The following is a 19,612-nucleotide window of genomic DNA, read 5'->3' as shown; positions in this document are numbered from 1 at the left end:
CACCTAGTGGGAATGCCACCAGACCCTTGACAAAACCTCTAAAGAGAAGGAGGGCGGAGAATGAATTAGAAATACATATAATAGTGTTTTTATCCCCCTGGAATCAGTTGGGAGCTCTATTGTCTTAAAAATTTGGAAGCCGGATTTCTTACTACAAATTATGAGCCTTTCAGGATGGTGGTTGAAAGTTTGGATTTTGCTGTTAGAGAAATCTGGGTTTGAATTTTGACTTAGTTGTGCAGAATCGTTCTTTTTGGCTGGCTAATATTTGAAATTCCTTCCAATGTTTGGAAAATACCCTTCCTTGTATGAGTCTTCATAGGAGGTATGGCTCACCTCCCACTTTGGAAAGCAAATATCATTTCTCCAACCTCCTTTACAGCTGAACTTTAAGCATGAGGTCTAGAATCTACCAAATAAATGAAGCCAGGTAAATTTCTAAATTAGGAGCTACTGACACTAAGAAATAGGGACCCTGTAGAATCTACTATAGGTCAAGCAAGATCAAGTTCCTATGGTTGCAGTCCAGTGGTGCCAGTGGAAATGTCCTAAATCCGGTATCAGTGGCCTGGGTGTTAGTGTCATTAATGGACCTTGATTCTGGCTAAATAGCTCATGATCTTGGTACTCCTGCCCCCACAACAATTTTGCATATTAGTAATATTCTCTAAATACATTTCTTTTTTTGATTAAATCAGCCAAGTTAATTTCTGTTGTTTTCCATCAATAATCTTCATTTAACATTAGGTAAATTATCTTTTTAAGCCTTGAATATTCTTATATATACTGAAAAAAACCCAGTACCTGTCTCTTAAGGCTGATATAAGACTAATCGATTAACTGAGGGTATGCATGTATATATATAGACAGAGAGAGAGTGCATGTTTACCATGATGTCAAGCACATAAATGTAAATAAATGCTAGCTATGAACATCTGTTCTTTTAAATAACAATGTAAAAATATAATTACTGTGAAGTTTAAGTAGTACTTAATTTCACCAAAAAACTTTAATTAAGCAGAGATGATCAAGCAGGAAGCCCTTTTCTTGATATTTCAAGAACAAATGGTTATTTGCCCATTATCATGTGAAATAACCCTTATGTTTATAATTCAGGAAGAAAGAAACTTAAAAACTTTTTTTTCACTCCTAGTATGTCCTGGAAATATACCTCTTACCAGTAGTGTGTGTGTGTGTGTGTGTGTGTGTGTGTGCGCGCGCGCGCGTGCGTGTGTGCATTTTACATTTATTTTTTAAAGCATTCACATTTTACACATTTCCATATAGGTAAAAACAGTACATTAACTAATAATGCTTTCTGCTGAAAGCAACGGAAAACTATGGCTTCAATACATAAACATTTTCTTCTTTCACATATCAAAAAGCCAAGAGGAAATTTGTCGAGAGTGATGTGATTGTCTAAAAATTCTGCCAGGGATTTAACCTCTTTCTATCATCTGCTTCATTGTATTTAAAGTGATGGTATCACTGTTGTTTCATCACAGTCACAAGATGGCTGTCACACCAATAGCAATTCAATCCATTTGCATTCCAGGTGGTAAGAAGAAAAAGGCAGAAAGAACTAAGTGTCAAAGAATCATACTTTCTGAGTCGAGTTTTTTGAATAAAATTTTCCCTGAAGTCCCATCCAGCAACTTCGAGTTAGAGATTATTGAGTCACACGTGCATTCCTAATCCAACCTCTGAAAGCTTCCAGGGAAAAGCAAATTGTGACTGAGGATGTGTCCAGGAACCCTACGGTGTCTGCCATGAATACTAATATGGTCAAAGCCTAGGTGGATGAATGTCCAAAGATGGCATAAGAAAAACAATCTTGTATCCTTCATTTTATAACAAGAAAAAAGACTAAGGACCATGTATGAAGAATAATGATTAAAATATGGATAATGCAACAATAGCTATCAGTAACTAATATTTGTGTGGGACTTACTATACTCCAGGTACTATTAAAAACACTTAGATAATAATCATTATATGAGAAATTTAAACTACAATAAGAAACAAAGAAGGTCATTATATAGTGATAAAGGGGTGTATTAGTCTGTTTTGCATTGCTAAAAAAGAATAACTGAGATTGGGTAAATTATAAAGAAAAGAGGTTTATTTGGCTCTACAGGCTGCCCAAGAAGCATGGCACCAGCAAAGAAGGCTTCTGTTGAGGGCCTCAAGAAATTTTAATCATGGCAGAAGGCAGAAGGGAGCAAGTGTGTCACATAGCAAGGGAGGGAGCAAGAGAGAAGGGGGAGGTGCCATGCTCTTTTTAACAACAAGCTCCTATATGAACTAATAGAGCAAGAACTCACTTATTACTACAAGGACAGCACCAAACCATTCATAAGGTATCCACCTCCATGTCCCAAACATCTCACTGGGCCCCGTCGCTAACATTGGAGATCAGTTTTGGACTATATCAAGGGGCTAATTTATCAAGAGGATATAATAATTGTAAATACATATGTACCCAACATAGGAGCACCTAAACATATAAAGCAAATATTAATAGACATGAAAGGAGAGCAGATTGTAATACAATAATAGTAGAAGACTTCAATACCTCACTTTCAGCAATTGGCAGATCATCCGGACAAAATATTAATAATGAAATATTGGACTTGAACTATATTTCAGACCAAATAAACCTTACAGTCAGATACATGACATTCCATTTAACAGAGACAGAATACACACTCTTCTCAAATGCACATGAAACATTCTCCAGGATAGATCATATATTAGTCCACAAAACAAGTCTTAACAAATTTAAGATGATTGAAATTATATTGAGTACCTTTTACGACCATAATGGTATGAAACTAGAAATCAAGAACAGGAGGAACTTCAGAAAATCTACAAATATATGGATATTAAACAGCATGCTCCTGAACAACCCATGAGTTGAAGAATAAATTAAAAGGGAAATTTGAAAAATATCCTGAGACAAATGAAAATGGAAACACAACATACCAAAACTTACGGGATGCAACATAAGCAGTTCTAAGAGCAAAGTTTATAGCAATAAATCCCCACATCAACACAAAAGAAAGTCCCCCCAAAAAACCTAATGGTATACCTCAAGAAACTAGAAAAAGAAGAACAAACTAAGCCTAAAGTAAGTAGAAAGAAGGAAATAATAAGATCAGAGTAGAAATAAATAATAGAGACTAGAAAAGCAATAGAAAAGATCAACAAGACTAAGAGTTGGTTTTCTGAAAGATAAACAAAATTGGTAAAACTTTAGCTAGATTAACAAAAATGAGAGAACTCAAATAAAATCAGAAATCAAAAAGGAGACATTACAATGGATATCACAGAAATGCAAAGGATCATGAGACTATCATGAATAATTATACATTGACAAATTGAATAACCTAGAGAAAAATGAATAAATTCCTGGATATACACAACCTACCAAAAATTAATAATGAAGAAATAGAAGAAAATCTGAACAGATCAATAATGAGTAAGAAGACTGAATCAGTAATAAGTTTTCCATCAAAGAAAAGCCTAGTACTTGATGGCTTCACTGTTGCATTCCACAAAACTTTTAGAGAAGAATGAATACCAATCCACCTCAAAATTCTTCCAAAAATTTGAAGAGGGAATATGTCCAACCTCATTTTACAAGGCCAACATTACCCTGATACTAAAACCAGATGAGGACACTACAAGAAAAAAAAAAATACAGGCCTATGTCCCTGATGAATATAGATAATAGTAAACTGAAATCCACAGCATATTAAAAGGACCATTCACCATAATCAAGTTGAATTTTTCCGAGGGGTGCAAGGATGATTCAACATACACAGACCTATAAATGTGATATACACCACATTAATAGAATAAAGGACAAAAACATATGATAATCTCAATAGATACAGGAAAAGCATTTGACAAAATTCAACATCTTTCATGATAAAAATTCTTACCAAATTAGGTATAGAAGTACAATAAAGGCAATACAACAAACTTGTAGCTAACATCATATTCAATGGTGAAAAGTTGAATACATTCAATGCAACCAAAATTCCAATGATGTTTTCATAGAAATAGAAAAACATTTCTAAAATTTGTCTGGAACCACAAAAGATCCCAAATAAACACGGCAACCTTGATAAACAAGAATAAAGCTGGAGGCATCACAGTACCTGACTTCAAAATATACTACAAAGCTATAGCAAGCAAAAGAGCATGGTACTGGTATAAAAGCAGATACATGGACCAATGGAGCAGAATAAAGGCCAGAAATAAACTCATGCATTTATAGTCAATTGGTTTTTGACAAAAGTGCCAAGAAAACACAAAGGGAAAAAGACAGCTTCTTCAATAAATAATGTTGGGAATAAAGGATATTCACATACAGAAGAATAAAATTAGGCCCTTATTTCATATCATATACACAAATCAACCCAAAATGTTTTAAAGATTAAAACATAGACCAGAAACTATTAAACTACCAGAAGAAAACATAGTGGGAAAGCTTTATGACATTAGTTTGGACAATGATTTTTTGGATACAACCCCAAAAGCACAGGCAACAAAAGCAAAAATAGACTAATAAGAATGTATCAAACTAAAAATTTCTGCATACTAAAATAAGCAATCAACAGAATGCAAAGGCAATTTATGGAATGGGATAAAATATTTGCAAGTCATACATCTTATAAGGCAGGGGTCCCCAAGCCCTGGAGACTGGTATGGGTCTGTGTCCTGTAAGGAACCAGGCTGCACAGCAGGAGGTGAACAGTGGGTGAGCCCTACCTCCTGTCAGATCAGCAGTGGCATTAGATTCTCATAAGAGTGCAAATCCTATTGTGAACTGCACAAGCAAGGGATCTAGGTTGTGCATTCCTTATGAGAATCTAATGTCTGATGATCTGAGGTAAAACAGTTTCATCCCAAAACCATGCTCCTGTACCCCAGTTCATGGAAAAACTGTCTTCCACGAAATGAGTAGGCCAAAAATATGGGGACTGCTGCTATAAGGGATTAATAACCCAAATATATAAGGAACTCAAACAATTCAATAGCAAGAAAATAAATAACCTGATTCAAAATTGAGCAAAGGGCATTCTTTCTCAAAAGAGTATGTACAAATGGCAAACAGGCATACATAAGAATGTTCAACCTCACTAATTATCAGTTAATTGCAAATTAAAACCACAATGAGATGTTTCACACCTGTTAGAATGACTACTATAAAAAAGACAAATGAAAACAAATGTTGACCAGGATGTAGAGAAAAGGGAACCCTTAGATACTCTTGGTAGAAATGTCAATTAGTACAGCCATTATGGATAATAGTATGGAGGTTTCTCAAAAAATTAAAAATAGAACTACTATATGATCCAGCAATTTCACTTCTGGGTATATATCTAAAGGAAATGAAATAGTATGTAAAAGCATTCCCATGGTCACTGCAGCATTATTCACAATAGCCAAGACATAGAATCAACCTAAGAGTTCATCAATGGATGAATGGATTAAAAATATATGGTATATATATATAATGGAATTCTATTCAACCTTAAAAAAGAAGTAAATCTTTTTATGACAACATGGATGAACCTGGAGGACATTATGTTAAGTGAAGTTAACCAGGCACAGAAAGAAAAATACCACATGATCTCACTTAAATGTAGAATTCAAAAAAGTTGAACTCAGGAAAGTAGAGAATAGAATGGTTGTTACCAGAGGCACTGGGGTGGGGGCATTGGGGACATATTGGTCAAAGGATGCAAAATTTCAGTTATATAGAAGGAATAAGTTCAAGAGATTTACTGTACAACATGGTGACTAAAGCTCATAACAATGTATTGTATTTTGAAAACTGCTCAGAGGGCAGATTTTAAGTGTTTTTACCACAAAAAGTGAGGTAAAATGTATGTTAATTAGGGTCACTTGAGCCAAACCACAATCCATACATATTTCAAGACATCATGTTATTCACGATGAATACTTACAATTCTTATTTGCCAATTTATAAAAGCTTAAAAATGCTTATATACCTTATTTAATCCTTACAACAACCTTATGAAGTAGGAATTATTATTATCCCTGTTTAGCGTATGAGGAAACCAAGGCACAAAGGAATTAAATAACTCAAAGAAAGTCTCTTAGTTAATAAGTGCTCAATCTGCAATTCAGATACAGGGAGCAACAATTCTAACTCAAGTTTACTAAAAACATAAGAAAACGATCTTTTGCTTATTTTATCTTTTCTTAAAAATAAGGGATTTCTCTGGAAGTCAACAAATATTTAATAAGCCAACCTGAGTCTGAGAGTGAAATTTCCAAACTCAAATGATCAAAATATCAGAACAAAAATACTAGTCAGTCCATTATTTAGCATAGAACCCATCTGTTGGGACTCGTTATCCTAAATGGTAGGCTGTGGGAGAGAACTTTTTCCTTGCCTTGAAAGTATTACCGCTAGTGATATCAGTAATATTCTGCTTATAGGCCTCCTCAACCTGCTGGTATCAGGATGTTTTAGAGAATAGCAGATGCAGAGAAGGCAGCAATCACTTCATGAAAGTGGCCTGAAGTGGAGGCATCACCTCTTCACACCAGCGGAAATAATTCACAAGCCCCAGGGAGTCACCACTCCTGTCAAACACCACCAGCAACAAGAAGTTTAGATATAAGCTAACTTCTCATTGGTTTAAAGCAGTTTTCCTCATTCTTTTTTCATTATTGTTCCCTAAAAAGACTTATTTATTTATTTATTTATTTACCAAGATGGAATCTCGCTCTGTCGCCCAGGCTGGAGTGCAGTGGTGCGATCTTGGCTCACTGCAACCTCCGCACATTTTTTCCTAATTGTCCCCACCATGATATGTAAATACCACATATATATTATATGTCTGTTTATGTAGTGTGGCCCTTTGGAGGTCCACAAACCATCATAAGATCTGAATTTTCTCATCCTCCAAGAACCAATTTTCACCCTCTTGGGGTGATACTGCTTTTGTAAGAACGCATGGTATTACGGACTTCATGTTTGTGTTCCTCCCGAAATTCATGTTGAAACCCTAACCCCCAGTGGAATGGTATTAGGAGGTAGGGTCTTTAGGAGAAGGTCATGAGGATGGTGCCCTCCCGATGTGATTATTGCGCTTCTAAGAAAAGACACAAGACAGCTTGCTTCCTCTCTCTGCTTTCTGGCCATGTGAAGACAGAGCAAGAAGACAGCCACCAGCAAACCAGGAAGAGGAATCTCATCAGAACCTACCAATGCTGGCACCACAATCTTGAACTTTCCAGCATCCAGAACTGTGAGACATAAATTTCTATTGTTTAAGCCACCAGTCTATTTTGTAATTTGTTAATAGCAGCCCAAAACTAAGACACGTGATTCAAAGTGATTAGCTTATGATTCTAAAAGTCATTCTGGGAAATGGAGCTGCCTCATGGCCTCACCAAAATTCTAATAATGGTCAAGTTCCCATAAAAAATTAAGTTAAAGCCTTCCTTAAATGTAGTAGTCATTATTGCTATTAATAGTTTTGGAATGTAGTCAGATTGCAAACATACTTCCACATGGTTTGGCAGGGAACATGTGACTAGCTCTGTCCAGTGAATTGTAAGTTAAAGGATCACATATGACTTCCAGGCCAGAACATTCTATTGCTGGTTCAAAACCTACAGCTCACTTTTCCTCTATCCAGTGATAAGCAAAATTCAAGATGGCAGCTTCTTTGTCGGCCTGGGTTCCAATGGGAGGAAGTATGGAGGAGAGCTCCCAACTGACCTCAGTGCATAAGAGATAGACCACTCAGATTTAGAGGTTGTGTTTACTGCAGCACAACCCAGGTTACCTTGACTGACACATTGGGTCATTCATTTATTTATTTAAATGAATGAGAACCCACCATATGCTGGATACTGTCTTAGGCACTCAGGATATAGTTGTAACTAGACAAATCCTCATCCACATGGAACTTATATTCTAATAGAGGAATCTAGTGAGATCAAATTCAGCAATGCTTCAGCCCAGACAAGAAGGAATATATTAGGGAAGAAAATTAATCCTTCTTCTTGAAGACAAAGCTAAAATTATCAAATTCCATCCCATGATTTACTTTCAACTCTCTTCTCCAAGATGAAGCCAAGTCCAGAGAATACTAATTCCTCTGCCCCTCTCCCAGGACACCAGAGGAATGTAAAATCTTGTCCTTTTAATTTTGAAGGTAAATGATTTGGGAAGGTTATTGGGGAATCTTTGAAGAAAGAGCAGGATTCAGCAAACTGAAAGTGTGAAGGGGCCTTCCAGATTGTAGGAATTTAAAGGGACAGGGATGTGAAAGTGCGGATACCCCTTGCCCACACTAAATCCATCACAGAAGCACCAAGTGATTAAATGAACTAATTTACCAGAACATCAAATTGGGCTCTTAAAAGTGATTTTATTTTGTCTAAGCCCCCATAATATTCACAGAGAGATGTTCATTTCCCACAGGATGAAGCCCATTCTTCCTTAAGAGGAATCCTGGACAGATAATACAAACAATTAAACGGAAATAAACCATTTTAACCACCCCCTACCCCCGACACCCCCAACCTCTGCAGTTCAAATGCTCCAGCCATCAAAGCTGGCCAGCCCAAACCAGCTGCTTAAGATCATCCTTTGAGGTACAATGAACTAGGGCTTTGTTAGATCTGGAGTGAGAAAGGATTTCAAAGACAAGTGCCCTGCTTGGGAAATGATTTCCTGATGACCTCTTCAAATTACATACTTTTTCTCAGAATACAGTTAGGTCCTAGTCCTTATTCCCTCCACTATGAATCTCCCCTAAACCCCAGAGTGAAGCATGGCTAGAAGAAAATGATAAGAGAAATGGTGAGATCTCCCCAACCCATGACAAAATTTCACTGATTAACCACTGCCTAAAAATATAAAATGAACTAGAGACAAGATGTCCTCCATTTCTGACTCTGCACATTCTGGATAACTTGATTCTGTGTCTTTATATCTTGGTTTAATTTCAAAAAACAAAAGGTTTCTAGATGTTAAGTCTTGTAATTAGATCATTTTTAAATTTCTTGCCTTATTGACACTGTCTAATACTAACTAATGCTATTTCTTTTTTCTTTTTTAATTTTTTTATTCACACATAATATGTATACATATGTGGGGGGAAACATGATAATTTGATACATTTATATAATGAGTAAAGATCAAATCAGGGTAATTGAGATATCCATCAACTTACAGCTCTTTCTGAAGATTTTCAATACTTGGGTAATTCTGCTTGGAATTTTCAGCTAAAAACAAACGCATATTTGAGGTTTAACATCAATTGATGCTTTTTTTCCTGTAAAGTTGTTTGAGATAACAATAATTTTTAAGGGATACATACCATAAATTCAGCTGTCTGGCTTTAACCTAGGACTAATATTATTGCTCAGAAATTTATGAAAAGGCTGTCTACATGAAGAATTAATATCATAATATCAGAAGGGAAAAAGAATAGAAAACAAACGTGAATCGATATAGTTACTAGAAGCAAACACACACAATGAGACTCAAGTATCAATTATGTTGAGAATGTTCATAATAATCTGCTGTTAAAAAAAACATACTTGCCTGGAAAACAGGATTAGGAGTGAAAAATTCTGTTTTCTGACATTAACTACATGGATGACCTTGGGAAAGTAACTTTGCACACTGACTGCCAGGCATCGTAGGAAGCGGTTTTCATGAATGAACGCATTTACTCTTCATGTTATAACCTTCATGGCAAGTATTATTATTATCCCCACTTAAGAGACAGGAATCTGGTGTTCAGATAAGTTAAATAACTTACCCAAGATCACAAGTTTCAAGAGCAGGTCCTTTACCTTAACTCTTTCATTACCAGATGATCTTTAAAGTCTCATACAGGCTTAACATTCTGGTCTTCTAAAATCTTTAGTTCTAACACTGCACCCTACTGCTTCCTTTCTAAAATTATGCATAATTCTACCAGTGACATGTTTACGGGTTTTTTCCTCTTAAAATGTTTTATTTTGAAGACATCAGACTGAAAACTTAGATGAAATCTTTTGCTTAGTTTAAAATTTTAAGAGAAGATGAAAAACAAAGAAGGAAGAAAACTCCACTGATTATTTCTTAAACATTTGGCCCAAAAGAGTGACCTGTAGCTGTATGTAAACTCTTACTGATTTTTCTCAAGGGAATGGAGTTATTATCAATCAATTGAAAGAAGCCCAAAGTGATGGAAACCAACAAGCATATGTCATAGGAACATTTATTCATTCCTTTATACTTTTTTTGTTCGTTACTTTTCAAATAGTTCCATTAAACCAAGACTGATTTAGGGCCCTACCATCTCACTCTGATTTTGTTTGTTTGTTTATTTATATATTTATTTATTTTAGAGACAGGGTCTTGCTCTGTTTCCCAGGCTGGAGTGCAGTGGCACTATATAGCTCATTGCAGCCTTGAACTCCTGGGCCCGAGTAATCATCACCATGGCAGTGACCATCAACACACCCAGCTAATTTTTAAAATTTTTTGTAAGGCAGGATCTTGCTGTTGCTCAGGCTGGTTTCAAACTCCTGGCCTCAAGGTAATCCTCCCGCATTGGCCTCCCAAACCACTGGGGATTACAGGCATGAGCCACTGCATCCAACTTGACTCTCATTTTAAAATTGCAAACCAGAAAATCATTGTGGCAAAGTAGCTCAGCACAAGGACTCAGAAGGCCAATGTCTGAATTAAAACCTGTCTTCTATGTATTTGCTAATTGTGAGACTATGATTTAACCTCCCTGTGCCTCACATACTCATGTATAAAATGGAGACAGTAGTACCTTCTTCCCAAGGTTGTTTTGAGGTTAGCATGCCATGGAATACCTATTAAGCACACAATACATGGTGGCTATTATTCCAATTACTTTATAATTATGAGAACGCAGTTTGAAGCTGATATGGTTTGGATCTTTGTCCCCACCAAATTGCAATCCCTAATGTTGGAGGTGGGGGCTGGTGGGAGGTGATTAGATCATGGGGGCAGATTTTTCATAAATAGTTTAGCAGCATCTTCTTGGTACTGTCCATGTGACAATGAGTGAGTTTTCATAAGATCTGGTTGTTGAAAAGTGTGCAGCACCACCCCGCTCCCTCTCTTTTGCTCCTGCTCCTGACATGTGAGATGCCTTGCTCCCCTTTGCCTTCCGCCATGATTGTAAGCTTCCTGAGGCCTCCCGAGAAAGAGAAGCCACTATGTTTCCTGTACAGCCTGCAGAACTGTGAGCCAATTAAACCTCTTTTCTTATAAATTACCCAGTCCCAGGTATTTCTTTATAGCAGTGCAAGAACGGACTAATACAGAAGCCCTAATCGCAAATTTCTAACTCTCCTGAAGCAAATATTTTCTTTCATGAACTTCTACACACTCAGGAAATTTAATTCCTTAAGAATTATGTTAGAGCATTTTCTATGAACCAGACACTATTCTGTATACTTTGAGTATAAGTAAGGCAATGCTTCCTTTGAATCTCACCAGACAGGTACTGTTATTATATCCATTTTACAGAAGAGGAAACTGAGGCATAAGGAGGTAAGAAATCTACCCAAAGTCACTAAGGAGATAAATGATACAGCTGAAGTTGTAATCTAGGCCCTAGGGCCCAGCGGCCCCAGTTCTACATTCTCTGAACTCCCACCCCTGCTTTGCCATTCTCCCCCTACCCTGCCCCAACTCAGGGCCTTTGCATAAGCTGCTCCATCTGTCTAGAACACATCTGCATTGAACCTGGACCCTCCTTCACATGGATAATTCTACCCTTCTCTTTCTCAGGACTTCTCCATCACCTGTTCTACCTCCAGGTACACAACAGGCCATCCATAGTTCTCCTCACCTCTGACGTTCAGCCTCCTCAATGTAAATGCTACACTGTTTCCAGGGGCCCCTGCTTGGCCACCATCTCCATAAAGGTGGGGACTGGGCCTTATTTTTCTTGGTGCCTACCACCACAACATCTGGGAGCACAGAGTAGGTGCTCAGTAAATGTGACTGGTACAAAATCATTTAATTCACCTCTTTACTAAGCACCTAGTAGGTCCCTAGCCTTGTGCTAGCCCTGGGAATACAGTGGTGAACAAAACACAACCAGACAGAATAGTAATAGAAGGATTTTAGAGAAATGGTTAAGTCTCTGGACCTTAAAGACAGATAACCTAGGCTCAAATCCAAGCTCTGTCAAGTTTTGTGAGGCTGGGCAAGTTACTTAGATTCTGTGATGATTAATACTGGGTGTCAGCTTGATTGGATTGCAGGATGTCTAGATAGCCGGTAAGGTGTTGTTTCTGGGTGCGTCTGTGAGAATGTTGCCAGAGGAGATTGACATGTGAGTCAGTGGACTGGACCCACCCTCAATGTGAGTGGGCACCACCCAATCAGCTGCCAGCGTGGCTAGAATAAAGCAGGTGGAAGGAGGTGGGATAAGCTGTCTTGCTGGGTCTTCTGGCTTTCATCTTTCTCCTGTGCTGGATGCTTCCATCTGTTCCTCTTGCTCTTGGACATCAGACTCCAGGTTTTTTGGCCTTTGGACCCTTGGACTACTTACACCAGTGGTTTGCTGGGGCTCTCAGGCCTTGCCACAGACTGAAGGTTGCACTGTAGGCTTTCCTGCTTTTGAGGCTTTTGAACTCAAACTGAGCCACTACTGGCTTCTTTCTTCCTCAGCTTGCAGGTGGCTATTGTGTGGAACTTCACCTTTGACTGTGTGAGCCAATTCTCCCTAATAAACTCCCTTTAATATAGACATATATCTGACTAGTTCTGTCCTTCTGGAGAACCTTGACAAATACAGCTTCTGTGTGCCTCAGCTTCCTCACTTATCTAGTGGTACTATGCATAGAAAAGTATCATCATTACACCATTGCTCTAAGAATTAAAAGAGTTAATTTACTTCAAGTGTGTAGAACAGTCCTGGCCTCCTAGGAAGCACACAGAAAGTCAGCTCTTACTGTTAACTGTCATGGAACTTACATTCTGGGGGGTGGAATGGAGAGAGGATAGACACATGCCAACCCAAAATGTAATACAATGGGATAAGGAGATATTTGGCTAAATGATATAAAATTGCCAGATTTGTAGGTCAAAAATGGTTACATAGAGGCAATTTTATATGGTACAAACTAAAATGTACAGAGAACATAGAGAAGGGAGCAACTAATTTTGCTTGGAGAAGTAAAGAAAAGCTCCATAAAGAAGTTGCACCTTAACTGGGCACAGTGGCTATTACCTGTAATCCCAGCACCTTGGGAGGCTGAAGTTGGAGGATTTCTGGAGGCCAAGAGTTTGAGACCAGCTTGGGCAACATGGTGAGACTTCATTTCTACAAAAAAACAAAAAAGTTAGCTGTGCATGGTGGTGCATGCCTGTAGTACCAGCTACTAGGGAGACTGAGGTAGGAGGATTGCTAGAGCCCAAGAAGTAGAGACTGCAGTAAACCATAATCATGCCATTGTACTCTAGCCTGGACAACAGAGCAAGACCCTGTCTTACAAACAAAAAAGAAATTGTACCCTGATGGAGCCCCACAGGATGGGTAGACAGTCACTGGACAGAGAAAGGGAGAAATGGTATTTAAAGAAGAAAAACAGCAGGAGCAAAGAAGGGGGCTTGATAGAGTGTGACCAACAGACGCTTACAGAACTCAGAATCTCTTTTGGGAATGTCAGAATTGAATACTGGAAAGGAAACAAAGGATTGCTAATCACACCAAGCTCATTCTGCCTTCAATGTTTTAAGTGATATTAGTGTTTTCTAAAGAGTTAAGAAAGCATTATGGCATAAAAGCAAAAAGTATACATGGGTTTTGGTGCCAGAAAGACCTGGTTTGAATCCCAACTCTACTATTTACTGAGTGAGTGAACTTGACGAAATCACTTAACTTCTATGAGCCTCAATATCCTTATCTGTAAAATGGGTTAAATATGACTTACCTAGGAGGATGTTTGTAAAGATTAGAGGAAATGTATATAAAGAATTTAGCAGATTATCTGATACATTAGTGTTTTTCAATTAAGAGTAATTCCTTTACTAGTATTGCTAATGTCTTTGAAGCCTCGGTGCTTTATAGAAAAAAATTCACTGGTAACCTGAAGGGACTAGTAACTCTAATTATAATAAGTCTAGGTGATTGGCTGGGCGCAGTGGCTCACGCCTGTAATCCCAGCACTTTGGGAGGCTGAGGCAGGCGGATCACGAGGTCAGGAGATCGAGACCATCCTGGCTAACACGGTGAAACCCCGTCTCTACTAAAAATACAAAAAATTAGCCAGGCGTGGTGGCAGGCGCCTGTAGTCCCAGCTACTGGGGAGGCTGAGGCAGGAGAATGGTGTGAACCCGGGAGGCGGAGCTTGCAGTGAGCCGAGATCGCGCCACTGCACTCCAGCCTGAGTGACAGAGAGAGACTCCGTCTCAAAGAAAAAATAAATAAATAAGTAAGTCTAGATGATTTAAGGTAAATGCTATGATTCCCCAGTCAGAAGACTTTAAAAAGACCAAGAATTATTGTGCTGAGAAGATGCATACTCCAAAGAACAACTACATCAATTAATACTTGCATAGCAAATGTCCATATGTGAAGTACTTTCCCATGGGTTAACTCATCTGCTAATCACAGCAGGCTTATGATGGAAGTTTATATTAATGGAAGTTCATATTAGTTCCCCATTTGGAGAGAAAACAAGCTTCAGAGAAGTCCTTGCTGAAGGTCCTTAATATTGATGAAAATGTAGACCACGGCTTTGTCTCTTCCTTAAAAGACTAAAAACGTAATTTGTTTGGAAGGTTTAGAATGTTGTTACCGGATGGTCTGTTAATAGTGCAGGAGATTATACAATCATAAAATTTTTGAGTGGGGTTTATCGAAGCCCATCTCCCTTAGCCATCTCATTTTACAAAAGAAAATTGAGAAAAGAGGAATTAAATGGCTCTTCTGTAGTCACTTTGAAAATTCATGGCTGTGCTTCTAGTTGAAGATGGCAGATTTAACATATGCTATACATTACATTCCATCCCCCAAGCTCACTAAAAAGACAGTAAAGGGACTGATTTTAAAGACATTCACTCATAAAGACAAAAAGAATTAGGAGGAAAACAACAACAACAACATTTTGGAAGATGGAAAGCAGATGGTAGAGGGGTAACTGGCTTAGCCGAACCATGAAGGCTGAAATTTAAGTTGACAGTGGGTGAAACCCAGAAGCAACCTGCTTTGCATTGCAAAACCCTGGAAAGGCTCAGAAATTGGAAGCAAGAAGTACATATGAAAGTGGGGATGCAGGTGAGGCAGATACAGAATTTGTTAATTGTTTGAGAAGCAGTTTCTTCACCCTCCTGGCAGGAGACTGAAGACTTACTCTCTGGAGAACATGTTTCAGAAAGATCTAGACAAGGGATGGCAGGCACTACTCAGGGCAGGAGCACCCCCACGGAAAACAAGGAGAATTACTAAAGGGGTACATTCTGAATGGTGAGAATCCCAACCTCCTGGTCTACTTTGGCTCCCAGAAAACTGACAGCCTAAAGACTGAATGATTCTGCTCTAAGTGCTCAGTGAAAACCTAAAGATGCTAATGGTCAGGGATCCTCTAGTGAAACAGCCCAGCCAGATCATCTTAGTAACACCCAGTAGTCAACAAGTCCTATCCATGCACACAGACGTTTCTTCAGCTGCTTCTTGCCCCTCTCTTGGGGTTGCCAGATTTAGCAAATAAAAATGCGGTCTTTGGGACATATTAAAAATGTATTCATTGTTTATCTGAAATTCAGATTCAAATGACTGTTCCCTATCTTGTCTGGCAACTCTGTCCTCTCAAATAAGAATGGACATCCAAGAATCACCAGACATTTCAGGAAAACCTCAACAAGAAAGACAGTAATTTAAACATACTAATGGGGGAAAAGAAACAGAAAGATGAAAAAAATGCAAAGAAAAAATAATTTCAAAAATAGTACCATTCGTTTCCTCAAAAACTTAAGACAGGATACTGTGGCTTTGAAATAAGAACAGTTTGTTATAAAAAGAAATACTCAAATATCATCAAAAGGCTATTGTTAATTACAGTTATTGGAGCAGAAATGAAGGAAAAGCAGAAGTACAGAAAAATAAAAATAGGAAATGGAGGGAAAATTATAAAAGAAATAATTCAAGAAACTTTCCCAGAATGGAGGAAATGAGTTTCCAGATAGAAAGTACCCTTTAAGCACAAAGGATGACAAAATGCTCCCAGTAAGGAAATAGTAAAATAGAAGGGAACAGGTAGGGAGGGAAGGGAGGAAGGAAGGAAGGAAGGAAGGAAAGAAGGAAGGAAGGAAGGAAGGAAGGAAGGAAGGAAGGAAGGAAGGAAGGAAGGAAGAAAGGAGAAGGAAAGGAGAAGGAAAGGAGAAGGGAAGGAGAAGGGAAGGAGAAGAGAAGGAGAAGGAGAAGCAGGAGAAGGGAGAAGGCAGTTGAGCTAAGATATATATATATATATTTTAGTTCCAGGACATCAGGACGGAAGATGCTCAATAATTATTAAGCAATTTGTTTATAGATGCTCTAGTCTAACCTTAATAGAATACAAAAGTTTAATAAGTCTATAAAGCCTTAAGAAATGAAGTTTCATAACAATAATGTTGTACAAGAATAAACACAATGTAGTCAAAAGAACTCCAGGTCAGGAATCACAGACATATATTCTAGTCTTGTTTCTGCTTCTGTATAACCTTATATGTCTCACTTCATGTCTTTGGACACCAGTTTTGTCACCTGCAAACTTAGCTTAGGTTATAACATTCTAAATTCTATTTAATTAAGCAGTCATAACATATAGATTATATAACTGAGTAATTAAACTTTAAAAGTTCATATTTCAAAATACTTATTAAATGCACCAATATTCTCTTTCTTGAATTGCTTTTCCTACTTTTTCTATATTTCATATTATCTTATTTATATATAATAAATTCACATTTCTATAACATTCCACAGGTGTCATTTATTCATTCATTCCCCAAAGTCCAATTGATGCTATTTACAGGTGCAAGATAGACTGTAGTGAATTATACAGTTATGGTACATGTCCTCATGGAACTTTCACTTCGGTGGAGAAGATGGTCAAAAATAGCAATTTAAATAAATACATACTTGCTATACAGGATAAGACCTATGAAGGAAAATAAGATTCTATGAAATAATATAATAAAGTGAACTATTTTTAGAACTAGTACTTAGCAAAGAAATTCCTGAGAAGGTGGCCTTCATTCAGAAAGAAGATAAATAAGAGTTAGGTAGGTGAAGAGTAGGAAGACGCTTATAAAGGGGAGGAGAAAGTACATATACGGGCCTTAAGGGGGAAATTGCACTTTCAAGAAAATGACAGTTGACCTGTATTAAGGGGTGAGATTCTCCAGGGGGAGAATGGTGTGGCATGAGGTTGACAAGGAGGCAGTGGATAGATTGTGCTGGGTCTTTGAGTCCATAAAAAGAGGTTGGATTTTATTTTAAGGGCAATGGGAAGACATTAAATTATTTTAAGCACTGGAGTGACCTCATCTAATTTACAACATACGATCACACTTGCTGTTATTTTATCATTTTGGATCTTTGATACTATGCTTTGGGATAAGTAGTGCAGATATAATATAGCTCATTGTTGAGAAAATGAAGCACCGGAGGTGAGGTGGCCGCCTTGTGAACAGGTTGAATGGTTGGTTGCCATATAAAAGACCCAGAGGAAGACCTTGGGTTTCCCAACTCGAATCACTTAGTACATTGCCTGGCACAAAACAGGAGCTCAATAAATATTTGTTAAATGAATGTACACCACACTAGGACATTTTAGCTACTGAGATCCACGGGTCTTGGTAAAGAAAAAGGTCTATGTGTAAATCAGCCACCAGGGGGCGGGTATGCTTCCCCCCACATAATAGAAACATTGACCTTGGCAAGGACAACTGGTAGGGAAGAAAAAAAATCTTTAACTGAACAAAGTGCTTTCTCCAGTTTATACCAAAAAAAGATTTCATGAAATAGAATTGGCAACATCACAACAGACCCTTTGTTATGTGTTTGAGCTGACCATTTGTCCATGAGACTCAGCTATGGACAGCCTCCTGACTTAGGGTTCCTCTGACTCTTAAAAAAAAAAAAAAAAACAAAAAAAAAACCTCCAAAATAAAGTGTAATAAAAGGAAAGTACAATATCTCCTGACAGAATTCAAACTGTACATGCTGAACAAAAGACTTATTTTTTCCACTCAACCTTGCTGTTTTGAATTTCCTTGAACTTACTTCAAAATAAAGTTTGGGAAGAAGAAAACATTGTCTGTGTCACAGAAATGGTCCAAGATGGCTGGAGGAATCTACCTACTGAAGAGGGCTCCAATCACCCAAGGTGAGATAGGATGACTGTTTAATACATGTGGCAATAAAAACAAATAAAACACATATACACCATAAAAAAAAAGCCTTCGAGGACTTGGGTTCTACCTGCCAAACACATTTTCCCTATTAAATAAAGGTTGAATTTTTGTCAACAACCAATTGTTTGACAATATTGGGTGTGTTTTGCTCTGAGCCAATGCATGCTCTAGACACAGGTTTTCTCTACACACGTTGTCAGACTTCTGAGTTGAGGGATAGGAGAGTTTCCAGAAAGCATCTCGTAAATGTAAGTCAATAATCTATAATCAAACTATGAGGATTGATTGGTCATTCACTATGTACTCAGATTTAATCCTGTGGGAGAAATAAACAAGTTATTGAGACATGGTCCATGTATCAAATAACCAAGTGATTTTTTTTGTTAGTTATTGAGGGTGTTTTTAAATATATATTTTTATTTAATTTGAAGATCCAACATTCAAGTAGCTGGCTGAGTTTAAAAAAAAAAAAAAAAGCTTTTCTTCTGGATGTGTAGGGTAATGAAAAAACTTGTGAAGGTCTAGAAGAGGCCCCTCTTAAAGTTCTATAGCCAATTATAGCACCTTCTGCTATTTGTCCTTCCCCAAATCCTCTCATGGGTGCAATGTAGGCAAAGAGGGTTGGGTGTTTAGAAAGAGTATAGGAGACTTTGTGCTTAGTGTCTCAAATGTCTCACTATTACAAAGCGTTGACCATTTTGGGTTTTGCTTATTTGTTTGTTTTTTTGTTTTAGAAGGAGTACAAATTTCATAATATCTTGTCCCAGGAGCTTCTGTGTAGATGACATTCAGATCTTTGTTTCCTATTTTCACTTAATTATTTCAATAAAAAGGCATAATCACTCTCAAAATGTTTTTTTAATTTTTATGGGTACATAATAGGTGTATATATTTATAGGGTACATGAGATGTTTTGATACAAGTGTGCAACACATAATAATTACATCATGGAAAATGGGGTATCTATCACTGCAAGCATTTATCCTTTGTGTTACAAAAAAATTCAATTATACTCCTTTGGTTATTTTTGAATGTACAATTAAATTATTATTGACTATAGTCACCCTGTTGTGCTATCAAATGCTAGATCTTATTCAATCTATATTTTGGACCCATTAACCATTCCCACCACCCCCTTAACAACCCACTTCCCTTCCCAGGACTTGG

General features: G+C 37.5%; 1 long non-coding RNA gene across 1 annotated transcript in view; it reads right to left on the bottom strand.

The window, feature by feature from the left end:
* Positions 1-8,651: 8,651 nt before the first annotated feature.
* LINC02456 (long intergenic non-protein coding RNA 2456) overlaps positions 8,652-19,612 on the bottom strand; it is a 432,422-nt gene continuing 421,461 nt past the window's right edge. Inside the window, exon 13 of the long non-coding RNA XR_007063427.1 lies at positions 8,652-13,367. This is a non-coding gene — a long non-coding RNA (long intergenic non-protein coding RNA 2456). The remainder of the gene's footprint in view (positions 13,368-19,612) is intronic.

This window comes from Homo sapiens, chromosome 12 (assembly GCF_000001405.40).
Source record: "Homo sapiens chromosome 12, GRCh38.p14 Primary Assembly".
Classification (NCBI taxonomy): Eukaryota; Metazoa; Chordata; class Mammalia; order Primates; family Hominidae; genus Homo; species Homo sapiens.
This window is presented reverse-complemented; position numbering and strand designations above follow the sequence as displayed.